Genomic DNA, 15,526 nt, shown 5'->3' with positions numbered 1-15,526 from the left:
TGAATAAACAAGGCTATTGCAGCTCACAAAATATATTTCTTTTATTTTACTACCGAGGATCGACTCAGTGATGTAAAATGCCATTTAAAAAAAGAATGACAAAGTTTGAATGAGAAAATGTATTTCATCGTGAAAGATAAAAGTCTTTCCTTCTCTACAGTGAATACAGGTAATTTCAGAAGCAGCAGCTCCTAATTATTCACTGTTGAAAAGCTAAAAAAAGGTTCATATTGAAAACACTGACCTCTAGTTTGCTCTGTGAATGAAAGCAGACACAAATTCTCATTTTCCTAGAATTCTGGTTGATAACTGAGTTGGGAAAAGCATGCATTTCTTCATTACAGTGCAGTCGACTGTTCATTTAAATAACAATAACCTGCATAAAAGTCACAAAAGCATTATCTAGCAATTTTACTGTGTTGAAATGCATTATTAGTACTAACAATGCCAAACAGAGTAAATAAATGACTGTCTTCTTATTTTCAGCATTATTCCTGATTACTTAGCTTTATGAAAGGGTAGCATTATTATTACTGGTGCATTCAACACCTTGGTCAACACTATTTGCTTGGATAACTCTTGAATGAGAAGGGATTTCAGAATAGAGCTATATTCTTTTCTAGATTATCCAAGGGGGAAAAAATCTTCCAATTCAGTGCTTATATATCCTATATTTTTGATAACAAATGTTTGAAGAACTCAACTTCTGTTTTCTACATATGTGTAAAAACAAGAATTAAAGTCTTCATTAAAGATAGCACACTTGAAGTAGTGCTTACTAAAAAATGTAAAATTTACATCATTTGTTTAAATCAGAAGATTTCTTACCACGAACATGCTAATGCTTCAGTTTGTAAAGTTCCTTGAGCCCAAAATCTGGGCCTTTCTTTCAGTTTCTCTTTTTTCACTCCCTGAAGCATTCAGTACTCCACTAAATGCCATTGACCAAACTTGTTATGAGAGTACCATCAATCTCCCAGGTGCAGAGCAAATAGAGATTTGAAATCATTCACTCCTGAGTCTCTAGTTTGCAGGGGTTAGATTCAAAGGGGCCTCTCCATGAAAGATCTGAGCAATATTTGGCTTTAACAATGGATGGAAGTGCAAATTCCTAGAAGATGGGGCAACAGGATACATCCTTATAAAATGTTGTCATCTTGATGGGGACAGTACACACTTGAGTGACTGACTCTCATTCAGACAACAGGAGTTTTGTGGTTTGTGTGTGTGCACTGAGGCCTTGGATTTTGCTGTGGGAAGGGAGCAAGGAAGGTTGTGGGCGACACCGTAATGAGTAAATTAATTTTTAGGTAACTTAAAGGATTATGTGAGTGGATGAAAATGTTCTTCGGGGATGTGACAGATTGTATTTTCCAAAACTGGTTGCAACAATATTTCCTGCCCCACTGGTCTTCGTCAACCTGCCACCCCTGCATCAAAGAGTGGGGTATGTGTCACATCCCATCCCCTTAAACCTCGGCAGGCCCTTGCGACTGTCTTGCTGAGTAGAATGAGGCACAGAATGTGGCACTGTGTGACTTATTAGATTGGGTAAGAAAAAGCCACACAGCTTCTGCCTCTTGCTTTTGTAGCTCTCACCTTAGGTGCCCTGGGCTGCCAAGTCTGAGGCTGCCATACCGTAAGATTGCCCAAACCAGCATATGCAGGGAGACCACATGGAAGGGCCTTTTGACTAATGACAGAAAGAGAAAGGTGCCCAGCCAGTCCCGAGCTACTCCAGGCTCCTGTCCCCCCTACATAGTTCCAGCTCTGATCTCTGTCTGAAGAAGGCTCATGAGAGACCCTGAGCCAGAACACCCAGCCAAGCAACCCCTGATTTTCCTAACCCGCCAAAATCCTGAGAGACTGCTGCTGAAGTCACTGCATTTCTAGGGTGGTTTGCTACTCAGCAACAGATAACCAGGAGAAGAGAAAAAGAGAACTGAATGGAGAGTCACATCATCAACAATAGAAAGGGCACATCATATTTGGAGCCAAGCCTTTCAGGCCATGACCTCTGGACATGTAAATAAATGTAATGGGCAAAGACGCCTTGTAAATCAACATGTAAGCTTCCAACTCAGTCATGACTCAGAGCTTCCAACTCTCAGCACTGAGCCAATGTCCCTTCGGTGGAATCTCTAGATTTTCCATACAGAGGAGCTTAGGGCAGCAGAGGTGCAACGGCACTTGTTACGAAGCTGCGTTTACATAGCAAGCACAGTCCTCTTACTCCAACTATGTTTGCTTGGGGTGGCCCTGGCAGCATTCATGGCAAGGGGCTCTTGGGGTGGTGGGGAACCTACAGCCCCTCTAAGGTACCACTGGCTCAAACCCTGGCTCCCGCCTTGTCTTTTTTCCTCAAGTAAAACGGAACAGTTTGTAGGGGTTGGGTATCCCTTATCCAATATGCTTGGGACCAGAAGTGTTTGAGTTTTTAATTTTTTTTGGATTTGGGAATATATGCAAAATAACACTCCAGTTGAATATCTCTAATCCAAAAATCAGAAATCCAAAGTGCTCCAGTGAGTATTCCTTTTGAGCATCATATTGGGGCTCAAAAACTTGGATTTTGGGGCATTTTGAATTTTGGATTTTCAGAGTAGGGATGGTCAATCTGTAGCTCCTGGGCACAACATATTGTTTTAAGGCCTCCATGTCCCTGTTCTCTCTTCATTGGCTAACACACACTTATTCTTCAAAGCTCAGGCCAGGTATCACCAACTCCAGGAACCCCAACTTAGCTAAGAACTCCTTGTGTACACATATGGGTATGTTATACTCAAATTTATAATAAAATTTGCTTAGTTATGTCTTCTCACTAGAGTATACATGTTGGGAGAGCGACATGGATTATTTATATTTTATCTTCACTACCTAAGGCCTGCCATGTCTCAACAGCATGTGTTCCATAAATGTTTGTAGAATAGAAATGAACATGCCAAGACATGTTGCCTTCAAAGGATGAACTGGTGACAGTGTCTCCATGCATTTCAAATATTCCTTGCTCTTCCCTGATCTCAACTGGAAATCTCTCTCTGTGCTGGAAACTCCCAGGAGAACACTTCGTCAGAAATTTTTTCATGGCCCTTTCCCTCACCTCGGATCCTCATCCTCCATGCCTTCTTCCTCAGATCCATCCCTTCTGTGCTGGACCATACTTACTTATGTTCCCACTAGATCCCCTTCTAGGGGTCCGCTCCCAGCTGGCAGGTCCCTGGGCTGATGCGCATCCCGAGTGCCAAGAACAGCACTCCATATGCTCAGAGTAGGTTTGGTAAAGCAGCGTGTCTTCCCAGTCTCAATACACTGACAAAGTAGTTACTGACTCCGAAATCTCTTCCCTGGGGTTAGCAACTGTGCCTACAACAAGTCTGCGAATACACCAGTCTTAGATATGTTCAACAGGTGATATCAAGGTGAACTAAAATGATTTCAGGATAACCTGCTGAAGGCCTCAGAAGCTGACTGCGCCCTTGAAGTAGGTCATCCCCAGGAACAGTTGCTTTTCATCCACTCAGCAGGTGTGTGTCATCAAATAAATATCATAAAATGTCTTCCAGCCAGGAACAACTATCTGGCAGGGAAAAGGAAGTACACAGGCTCACTGATTACAGCTCTTGATGAAAAGCGTGAGATAAAGTTTTTTTTTTAACATATGAAAAACAGTATTTTTATGAACAAGAAGGTTTCCACCTCCACCGTTTACTGTCCTCCCAGTTCATCCAGCTGTCTTATCCCCCAACTAAGAAGCTTCCAGAATAAACTAGTCTCAGTTTCATAACTTCATTTACTAAGGTTTTAACAAAGAGGACTCCACAAACCTGGCACCATAAAAACAATTTTTTTTCTGTAAAACTGTGATTTTGAAAACAATCATAATAATTGGTAGGCCAATATGGTTTAATGCTTGGGATTCTCTCTCTCCTCCCATCCCTTTTTCAGTGTTTAGATTATTCATTTAGGTGCTATCTTCCTCCTTTTTGCTGGAAGATTCAGGAAGTATTAAAATTCAGTAATTTGTGGTTTTTCATATTTTGTAAGATTAGGGAGAACTGAATAACATGGTGCAATTTGTTCTTGAATATTCTCAAGCCTACCCCATCGTTACATACCAAATTACCAGGTATGATTGAACCCAAATATTAAAAAAAATGACTATAAGAAAAAATAAGCCTGTGGTTTAACCCTGATTTCAAAGTTAGGGGTACAACTTAAAAGAGGAAATATTTGGGCTCAAATGTGATGGGTAAGTTTTGGTTTTAATTTTATCCATATAACTTATAACCTGCAACGCTGATGACAATTCTAAGAGAACCATGAACACGGTGCACATCATGGAAGATTGAAAAGGTTGGCTCATAATAATTTCAAGATGAGTTATGTAGGCCAGTTTTTTACTTACTTGAATGTTATCTGCTAATATAATGGTGGATTTTTCAGTTAGTGTTTTTTTGATCGAATAGCGTTTTCCAGACACCCAGATACCATTTTCCTGATCCTCCTGTGCCTGGGCACCCATCTGAGTTAGTATTTACTTAACTGTTTTCTTCATGTCAACTTTAAATTGGCCCTTTAAAGAAAAAAGTCAGCTCATCCCAAACAACCATATCAGTAAAATCACAGGTCTGATGACTACCTAAATTTGTTCTTTTGGGAAAAAACAACCGAGTTAAGGGAAAACTACCCAGCTCAGAAGAGGCATGACAAGAAGTTAATCCTTTCATTTGATGAATATTTATTAAGTCCTTACTCTATGCCAACTCCTCTTGCAGATGCTGGGTTTATAGCAGTAAAGAAAGCAAAGTTCCTGCTCTCCTGGAGCTTACATTCTGCAGGAGGTGATGACAATAAGCCAACAAGTTTATAAAATGATTCCAGGTATTGATATATGCGATAAAAAGAACTAAAGCAGGGGAAAGGCATCGAGTGATGAGGGGCTTATCTGAGATCCAACGGAGCATGGAAAACAGTGGACTGTTTTAAGCAGAGGCAAAGCATCCAGAGAGTTAATAATATCACATGTCCCCATTTCCACTCTCCTTATAAAACTCAGTTGTGCCCCAAGATCAAGTCTTAGTGTGATGTACCGTCCTCAGATTGGTTTCTCAGTAGCAGTAGTGTCTTTCAAGGGCTAAGTTTTCAATAGGGAATGCATTTCTGAAACAGAATGGCCTGGATGGGGTTACAGTGGGGAGACCTAGAATGCTAAAAGGTGACCAAAAATGTTGAGAGGGGAAGAGTGGAAGGAAAAGGCTGGGTGCCAAAATACACGGGGAGCACCGAAGACCTCTTTTGCTATCTTGCCTATGGTCTAGTGTAGTAATCTCCATGTGCCACAAAAAAATTATTTCCTATACCAACCTTGGCTTAAATACACGGGTTGTTAAGGACCAGAGCAGCATTTTCCCCCTCTTTATGTAACAGGACCTGGTAAATATGCTTCTTGCAATTTTCCTTAAAAACTTGATTCTTAAGTTATTAACTGAAAACATCACTGATAATTTAAATGAAATGTATTGATAAAGGCATAGCCTGATTTTAAACAGATTTTTTTCTTTGACTATGTATAATTACTTACATTCTTGGAGGCTGACTGCATGATGAGAACCCAGCTGGTATCAGGTGTCAGACAAGGAGATCTGTGCTCTTAAGGCTGATAGACTGGAGCTGCTGCAATCCTGGCTCTGAGACTTGAGAGTTGTGTGAGTTTGAGCAAGTTACTGAACTTTTCTAAGCCTCAGTTTCCTCATCGGTAAAAGAAAATAATAATGCCTCCCTTATAGGTTTTCTCTGACAGTTAAATGAAACTAAACGAGATAATGCTTATATAGCAGTTAGCATTTAAGTACCCTTAAAATAAATGACAATTAAGATGGTGACAGTAATCTTGACAATAATGGTAAAAAAAATCATATGCGAGGTCCTTCAGTTTTGAAACTGAGAAGGAAAGCCCTGGATTCTAAATTACTAAAAGGATTAAGTAATAACCAATAGTTCTGTAAGAGAATACTAGTGCTCCATTGGGCTGGTGCATGCATCGTGGTGGTCAGAGAGAGAAGGAAACTAAGGAGGGAGGGGTCTTTCATATGGACCATGGGTCCATCTCAAATCTAAGGGGTTTAGAATGCAGTGGGCAGTGGGGACCATTCTGGGCAGCCTTGATGGCCATGGAAACACAGAAAGGGGATCCCTAAAGCTAGAACGGGGTCCTATATCAGGAACTGGAGATCCAACAGGAATGGAGAGACACGATGTCAGTGGAATGTGGCCCCAGCATTCTGAGGCCTCCCCACATTTGCAGCAGCTTTTGCCCTACTCAGTTTTACAGATGTTCAACATCTGCCACCCCAAATTTAAAGACAACAATGGGGGAGCACATCCTGACAGTCTAAAGCCATTAAATCTGCATATAGCAGAATGAGATGTTGTGGAATCAACATCCCTTGAACCTGCACCAGTCTCCATTGGCAACAGAAGCAAATCAGTTCACATGCTTGGAGAATGCAGCAGTGGAAAGTGAAGTACAAGTGGAAAATCAGGGTGGGCAAGTCTGTCCTAATGCACACTTTTTCTTATCAGGGCATGTGTTGCATGTAAGCAAAGATTCTTTAGGAAGGGAAAGGCCTCTCTTAGTTTCACGCCCCTACCCCTCTGCATGTATTCTACCCTTTTACCTTTCTTCCCCCTCTGGAGTAAACGTTTAACTAGATTTATATCATTTAATGTGTGTGTGTGTGTGTGTGTGTGTGTGTGTGTGTGTGATAATAGTTGATCTCATTTAGCTGTATTATATCATTTAGACCACATAGAGTTACTGAGTTCTATTGTGGGCCTAGCAGAGAAACAAATCATTAGGAGGATGAGCATTTCCAGGCAGCTTTTGCTTTTCATACCTCCACAGTCATGAGCTTTTACTGAAAATACATGTGAGGACTCCAACTTCCTTCTGTCCTGGTCCAATAAAAAGAGATTTGCAAGAGTAAATTTTAGGTTACTCTGTGGCCATGCCTGCAGAGTGTGACACCTACAACTTTTTGGCTGGGAGGAAGGGTGAGAAGAATGAAGATATCCAGGCAGGATATATCTGAAGAGGATGGAACAGCATATAGGTCATGAACAGAAAAGCAGACTGGGAACGAGAACTAGGTTCTCTTACTAATTGGGTCACTCATTCAAATACTGAAGGAATAGCAAGGGTGCTGAGGCTCCTTTTACTGGGCAGCCATGAAGAGTCATCAAGCACTGCTTATAAATGATTTCTACTTCCCTGAGACTATGAATGTGTCAGGTGTCTTCAGCTAGAGAATGGACAGAGAACAGATTAAGATAAAGTGGGACAAAGATTAAAATAGAAAACCACATAGAGGGAACCACACTCTAGGAAAGACTGAGATGATGGCTGCTTTGTGGGTTTCTCACAAACTGTAGCGTCGATCTGGTTAGAGAGTTCATTTTCTGTTGTTGTCCCAGAGGACACAGTTGGTACGCTATGGACCACATAGTAGAAAATAAATGACTCCAAAGCAATCACTTTGTTGGCGTATTCTCCATCTTGTTCCCCACAAGATTTGGGATGGTTTACTTACACCAACCGTGTGTGGGAAGTCACCGGTCTTGAACTTGGCCAGCTCTGATTCGAGGGCTGGCTTTACCAATGACTCACTGTATGGTCAGGGAGTATGGCCTGAAGCTCACCAGGCCCGGGGACAGCGCATGTGGGAGTCATTTACCAATAAGAATATGCTATACAAATGTCCGGGGTGATTATTAGTAGTAGGAATGCTTTTCATTTAATAGGCTAAATAAAACATGCTAAACAAACACAACTGTGAATAAAAAGCATAAAGTTTGACCTACACTGACATGGCCCCTGAACCTTAACAGTAGAAAGTTTTTCTCAGAGTAAGCAAAGCCATGATCTGGTCCTAAAAACAGCACATTTGTTAAACTGAAAATGCTCTAAATTACTCCTTGGTAAGGGCTATTCTGCACAATCTGATGATTTGGGATTTCGCCAAATTAATGTCACTAGATATGCCTTATAATTAGGATAAAATATTTTAAAAGTTTTCAAAATGAAGCTATTCATTAACTCATTGATTTTTTCTACAGATTGGGAGCCTGAATTTAAATGATACCCAAAAATATAACTAGGTGTGCTCAAAGAGAGAAGAACTGGTTGTGAGTCTTTAAATGGAATGCAGTGGTTTAAAATGTTATTACTATTCAGCTTCTCTGAGAATATTAAAACTGCCCATTAAATGAAAATCTAATAATTGGCCCCATTGAATTGTGACATTTTGTAACCTGTACAGAAATGCAGAAAATTGTGGAAGAATAGCTCTTTTGAGGCAGAATTTGATTTGGAATGTAATATTATTCTAAAAGTGAAGGTTCTCATACACACACACACACATACACACACACACACAGATACACATGGACAACAATGCAGACTGACTGAGAAAGCTGAGGAAGAGTCTTCAGAGCTAAGGCAGATAACTCAAGACTCTCCTAGGTAACTTATGCTACTGACCCGGGAAAAAAAGCAGGCAAAGCATGAGCTCAGAGTAAACCCCAACTTGGAAGTGGCCTCTCTTTGGACATTGCTTAAAAAATATAAACAAGTTAGGTCATTCCATGCTTTTATATAAACCACGTGCAATTCTGCAATTTCTATAATTATTCTGCAGTAGCACTAAGTGAATACAATTCAGAGACATTAACTGAGCCGGGCGTGGTGGCTCACACCTGTAATCCTAGCATTTTGGGAGGCCAAGGTGGGCGGATCACTTGAGGTTAGGAGTTTGAGACCAGCCTGACCAACATGGCAAAACCCCATTTCTACTAAAAATACAAAAGTTAGGCAGCGTGGTGGTGCACGCTTGTAATCCCAGCTACTTGGGAGGCCGAGGCAGGAGAATCATTTGAACCCAGGAGGCAGAGGTTGCAGCGAGCTGAGAGCATGCCAATGCACTCCAGCCTGGGCGACAGAGCAAGACTCCATCTCGGAGAAAAAAAAAAAAAGACATTAACTGGAGGACAACAAATGGATTCAAATCAGAGGTTTAAAAATCCTCATGGGCCAATATTTACCAAGCACCTTCCATGTGAATGCAACTGTGCTGAGTGCTTTCAGATTCAAATATGAGAGCTGTATTCCTTGTTCTCCAGGAGTTAACCCTATAGTAGAGGGAATGAGATAGGTACTGAAACAGCTGAAACTTAAGGCATACTAGATCTGTCCAACAAGAGCAGTACAATCAAAGCAACACAGAGCACTTTGGGAGGCCGAGGCAGGTGGATTGCTTGAGCTCAGGAGTTCGAGACCAGCCTGGGCAACATGGTGAAACTCTGTCTCTACTAAAATACAAAAAATTAGCCAGGCTTGGTGGTGCCTGCCTATAGTCCCACCTACCTGGGAGGCCGAGGCACAAGAATTGCTTGAACCCAGGAGGCAGAGGTCGCAGTGAGCCAAGACTGCGCCACTGCATTCCAGCCTGGGCAACAGAGCAAAACTATCTCAAAAAAAAAAAAAAAAAAAAAAAAAAAAGCCACATAGAGTGCCTCTTGTTGGGGAGATCTGAAAAATGTGATCTCTCCTTTCTTTGAGGATGCAGCATGAAGACAGGGAACTGAAAGATGGGCAGGATTTTTATGGGGAAGAGAAGGTAAATGTCCAGGCAGGAGGAATGGCATGAGCAAGATTAAGAGCAAGAGGCAAGTCTGGTAGGCAGGGAGCAGTTCCGGCTGGCTGAGGTGCAGGTCAAGCGAGGGGAGGGTGGCTGGGAAGGAAGGTAGAGGCTGCATTGCAGAGAAGGCTGAGGGCCAGCAGAGGCCTAGGCCAGCCCACAGCACCAGGGGGGCAGTTCTGTCTGAAGACAGACACTCTTAGGGAACTAGAGGTCAAAAATCTTCATTGTATACTCTTTATCTGTGAAAATACAGGGCTCCAACTTTCTGTCCCTTTTCTGAGGTGTTTGTCAGCAAAGCAACCAGACACTCTTAAAGAAGGGACACAAAAAAGGGAGCCAATTCCTGGGGAGAAATGGTGACTGAAATGAAATGAAGGCCGGGACTAATCAGGGAGGAGGATGGTGAGTGAGATGAAGGAGAATATATGCCAGAGGAAGGCGGTCTAATCAGGAACAGGATGGAGGTGAGGAAGGGGACACGTACCCCTCCCGGGATAATCCCTAAGAAAATTGACAATAGACGCTGGAGGGCCAGCAAGTCCATAGATTCAGAAACTACCAGCAACCGCGGGGTGGCATAAACATGCCAGCTATGGGTTTCCACCCAGAAACCAAGTACTGCTCTTTGCGCTTTTAGGAGACAGACTGTGTAACTACGAAACATGTTTTTAGGAGACTATTTACTGTCAAGAAGAAATGTTCACGGCAAACGGCGAAGTGGGAAAGGCTACACAAAATGGATGCATGTACAACATAATTCCATGTTTATAGAAATATGAGCAGCATTTATTGGTGTATTTGATCATCACGAGCTAGACTGCTGAATGGTGAAATATTTGAAATATTCCATGCCATCCAAAAGTTCTTCAGTTCTTACTTAGAATAGCTGGTGACTCGCTTCTGTCAAAGATACTGCTTAATGCTAATTAGTATGCAGAACACATTCCTTTACAAATATCTCTAATAAGTAGAATAACTAAAAGAATCTTGTCAAATATGTAGCTGGCACAGTATAAAACATTAGAGATGAGTGTTTTCCTTTTTACCACTTTTAGGAAACAGTCTTCTATGTAAGAAATACATGGGACCTTATTTGAAAAAAACTGAAGTATTAACACAAATATTCCCAAGCTTATATTAGCTCTTGTAATCAATGTAACTTCTTTACACAGACCTGTAACCCTGTTTATATAAATATGCCCATGTATAAACAATGCATACTGCACATTAGTGCCTGGTGGAGGCCAAGTCTTTTTCAAAATGCAAACATTTCAGAATTATTTTGTATTTCAACAAACCTACAGTAATATACATGCTGTATACACATACCACACAATTATTCTATTTTGCATGTGAAATTACATACTTTACACACCTGGCTAGCACAGTGGAAGGACAGGCCCACTGATACCAGTGAGAAGCAATGAGTCCTTGTGTTTAGCTTCTTCAATGTTATCAGGATAGAACTGTCTAACAGAAATGAACCTGCTTTCTTTGGCGGTAAAGAATGTTATCAACCTTTTACCTAAATAAACTTCACCAGGAACAGGGGTGAAAAAATTGGCTAGATGTTTAATAAAGTGCAACCAGGACTGCAGCTGCTAATTTTGTTTGATGTTTTACAGCTGAGGGTAGCAAAAAAACTAAAAGGCAATTACATGAACCAAACAGACTTTTATAGCTCATAGTCAATCTCAAATAAATAATTCTGGCAGAGTCTAATACTCTTTATGTTAAAATACATCATCTTCCAATTTAGGACAATAACTTTAAAATTTTTATGCAAAGTAAGAGCAAATCAGAGACAGGTCTGGAAAACTTAAATGCCAATAAAACATTCAATTATTTGTATGTAAAATATACATAAAAGGGAGGAGAATATATACAAAGTTATTAACAATAGTTCAATAGCTGGGCAAGGTGACTCAAGCCTGTAATCCCAGCACTTTGGGAGGCAGAGGCGGGCAGACCACCAGGTCAGGAGTTCGAGACCAGCCTGACAAACATGGTGAAACCCTGTCTCTACTAAAAATACAAAAATTAGCCAGGCATGGGGGCGCGTGCCTGTAATCCCAGCTACTCAGGAGGCTGAGGCAGGAGAATTGCTTGAACCTGGGAGGCGGAGGTTGCAGTTAGCCAAGATCGCACCATTGTACTCCAGTCTGGGCGATAGAGCGAGACTTCATTTCAATAAAAAAAAAATAGTTAGCCTGGTGTGGTGGCACATGCCTGTAGTCCCAGCTACTTGGGAGGCTGAGATGGGAGGATCACCTGACCCCGGGAAGGCTGAGGCTGCAATGAGCCATGATCATGCCACTGTACTCTAGCACTCCAGCCTAGGTGACAAAATGAGTTCCTGTTTCAAAAAAACAAATACAACCCCTCCCCGCGCCACAAAAAACCCCCAATGGTTCAATGGAGGATGAGGCTTAAAGGGAGTTTTAGTTTGTTCTTTAACCCTTTCTGAATTTTCAAAATATTCAATAATAAATATGAAAGTAATAGTTTTTAAACGTTTAGGTTTTATTGTTTAAAATTACAAGGAGTTCAGTAAACTCACCACATTTTTTTGTGTTAAAAAACAAAAATTAAATACTCTGAAGGTGATTTAAGCAAGTGGGAGCAACATGATAAACATGTTGAGTGTATGAAAAAAACCTGCTGCTGCTTTAAAGAACTGTTGGGCTGCTGGTCTGTTTCTGGGGTGACAAAGCAGGTCTGTGTTTTGATGTTGCGTGACAGGGAGGGGTGAGGTCAGGGCATCCTGAAAACACATGAAAGACGAAGAAGTAGCGCACTGGTAGCAAAAGTGCAGGTTTCTTGAGTGCATGTAAGTCGAAAGCAGTTATGGTTCAGAGTGGGAAAGGCCACATGTGCTATGGAGGGAGAAGCTCTAGAGACCGTAAGAGAAAAGCTCCCAACTACAATCCTTTCACAAGGACCAATATGCGTGCAGGTAATAGCTTTGTCTCTTTCCTACTTAATTTAGAGATTATATCCCTTTAATCTAGTCTGTATGGCAAAATATTGAGAGTACAGAGACCGAAGTAGGTAAGACTAAGAGCTCTCCACCATCTGAAACAGGCAGTAATGGCATAGGCACAACAGTTATTTAATTAGCACACATTGATTAACTTAACCCCATGTAACCACTGTCTTCTGCTACTGCTAATTTTGTTTTTGAAGTCAAATGAAATAAAGTAGCTGAAGAGTAATTAAACGTGTCCACTCCCTTTATCCCTATGGCTATGATGACTGGGCTGCCCTCCACTGCTGAGGTTTTCTGAGAAGATGCTGGAAAGGCTTTGAAATAACTAAAAGACATGTTCTCAGGAGGTGGCAACTTCACATTAAAAACCCTAATATGAATGAGGCTGTCGGCAGCACTTTCTCTGAGGACGTGGGAGAGGCACATGATTTGTAGTCATTTTCAAATATTGGCTACGAAAATGATGATGTTCTATTAAAAGGTTTGCTACGGAAAGGAATCCTAGGCTACATTTGTGACAGTCCACCTAACACAAAAGATGGAAGATTGATGAATGTAAACTGTAGATTAGCAGTGGTTTTCAAACTTAACAAAAACAACAACGACAAAAGAATTTTTTTTTTCAAATGACAATCGTAGACATGCCCAACAGAGGACCAGATTAACACGGAACTAGCTTCTCTAGATGAAGTCTTGTTTGTTTTGCCTTTTCTTCCTCCTTGGTGACCTTTAGGTGGGTGGGCAAATGTTAAGGTTCCTTGGAATACAATTTGAGAACCCCTCCTTTATGCATCTCTGGGAGTACTGTGCATTGACTCAGTCCACACGGATTCTGATGCTCTTTAGCAGCTTTCTTTGACAGCTAGGTGAGAAAGCTAAGAAGGACATTTCCAAAAGTCTCTTGCTACCAGGTTCTGGATGTGGCCAAGGTTCTGGAGGAGCCTGGGCAAAACGTGGAAAGTGGGTATGAGCAGTGTGAGGCAGCCACAGGGAACGAGATGGGTGCACTTCCCAGAAATGTGTGTGTGTCGGGGGTAGGGGTAGAGGGAGAAGAGGGGCGTGCCTTTGGTTCTTCTGGGACAGTTCTGGCAGCAATAATGGAGTCAGTATAGAAGCTAGTATCATGGATGCCATGTGGGATAACAGTGAGGCAGTGAGACCTCCCAGAACAGTCTGACTGCCTGTTCTGTTGCTGAAATTCATGGCTGTGTAGCATCTAAAAGAGCTTCACTGGCCTTCCCAAAGAGTCTGTAAGCTATTCTAGCGCTTATCTCTTTCTGCTTAAGTTAGCTACTGATTCTAACCCTCTGAATCTAAGAATCCTGACCAATTCAAATTCTAAAATAGAGGGGCTGGGCACAGTGGCTTATGACTGTAATCAGGTACTTTGGGAGTCTGAGGCAGGAGGATTGCTTGAGGCCAGGAGTTCAGACGAGCCCAGACAACATGGCAAAATCCTGTTTCTAAAAAAAAAAAAAAACTTAAAAACTTAGCCGGGCATGGTGGCACGTGCCTGCAGTCCTGTAGTCCTACTACTTGGGAGGCTGGGGCAGGAGGATTGTTTGAGCCCAGGAATTGCAGGCTGCAGTGAGCTATGATTGTGCCACTGCACTCCAGGCTGGGTCGACAGAGCGAGACCCTGCCTCTGAAAAATAAGTAAATTAAAAATAAAATAGACCCTCATTATCTCATTACCTCATAAGAGGTATCCATAACACCATCATCTTTGTATCCCTACTGGACCTAGCATCATTTTTATCATGTAGATTGAATGTTAGTTAAATCACACTACTATAGCCACAGCATTATGCTGATCAAATTTTAACACCATTCAACTACCAATTAGAGAGTGTGACAAGATCTAAATAATATACATAACAAACACCTCAATAAACAAGTGGTTGAAACACTGTAATTTCTAGCCATGTTCACTTATCTGGGTAAAGCAAGGCATTAAAAACAGTCTCAATTTCTCATCATTTGGAGAAGACAAAAGTCAAAAGCTATCTAAAATAATCATTATTATGATTAACAATGAGTCTGAACTTGACCACTGTAGAATGACACACTAAAATGCCTATGTCTTGGTGAAAAGTAACAAGCAAAAAGAAAAAGAAAAATAGGCCCTTTATTTTGAAAATAACATATTGTCCCTGTGGGGTCATATATATATAATTGTTATCTAAGAATTTGATTACTCACAGCACAACTAGTTTTCTTCATTTAGAAAAGACTATTTGAAAGGGCTTCTCTTTCTTCCATTTTGTACACAACCTTTATTTCATTTTCTGTAAGTGGTTAGACAAAGGGTCAGACGATGACTTTAAATATTTAAACTGGTCAATGACAGTCAAGTAGCCAGGAACTTCTCTGGTTTATTGTTAATACGAATTGCCTTAGAGGTAACCTCAAGTACATGGCACAGCTTCCTAATGAGTGATTAGTTATGAAACTATGAAGTAATTCTGAATTTTAAATAAGACCGAAGAAAAGACTGGGATATAACAAATTAAAAGTACCATAATTATGCAATATCATGAGATGTATTAGACAGTCACACTATGCATATATCAAAAAATACATTAATAAACCTAACATATTAATATAAAGCTAAGCTTGGCCCTTCAAGACCTCAACACTAATTGGAAAGGATTTTGACAGAACATCTTGAATAACTTTCATTATTAATTTTGGCAAGCTATTTTTTAGCTACCTAAATAATGATTATTTCTACACTCTACAGTGCATCTATCAAAATCTAAGATCTGAAAAATAACATGAGTGAGGATGAGTGAAGTAGCAAATGTTCAAATGTTACAACCTGAATATGAATTTATTG

General features: G+C 40.9%; 1 protein-coding gene across 8 annotated transcripts in view, besides 1 other annotated feature; it reads right to left on the bottom strand.

The window, feature by feature from the left end:
- Nucleotides 1-15,526, bottom strand: part of VTI1A (vesicle transport through interaction with t-SNAREs 1A) — a 408,381-nt gene that overhangs the window by 136,130 nt on the left and 256,725 nt on the right. The gene's annotated exons all lie outside the window — the stretch shown is intronic.
- Nucleotides 9,075-9,369: a silencer, noted in NCBI's record as "tiled region #921; HepG2 Repressive non-DNase unmatched - State 23:Low". NCBI's record gives its function as "represses a minimal TATA promoter and a strong SV40 promoter by Sharpr-MPRA in HepG2 cells {active_cell/tissue: HepG2}" and the evidence as "EXISTENCE:reporter gene assay evidence [ECO:0000049][PMID:27701403]".

The sequence above is a fragment of the Homo sapiens genome, chromosome 10, assembly GCF_000001405.40.
Source record: "Homo sapiens chromosome 10, GRCh38.p14 Primary Assembly".
NCBI lineage: Eukaryota > Metazoa > Chordata > Mammalia > Primates > Hominidae > Homo > Homo sapiens.
The sequence above is the reverse complement of the archived record's forward strand: the minus strand, read 5'-3'. Positions and strand labels throughout refer to the sequence as shown.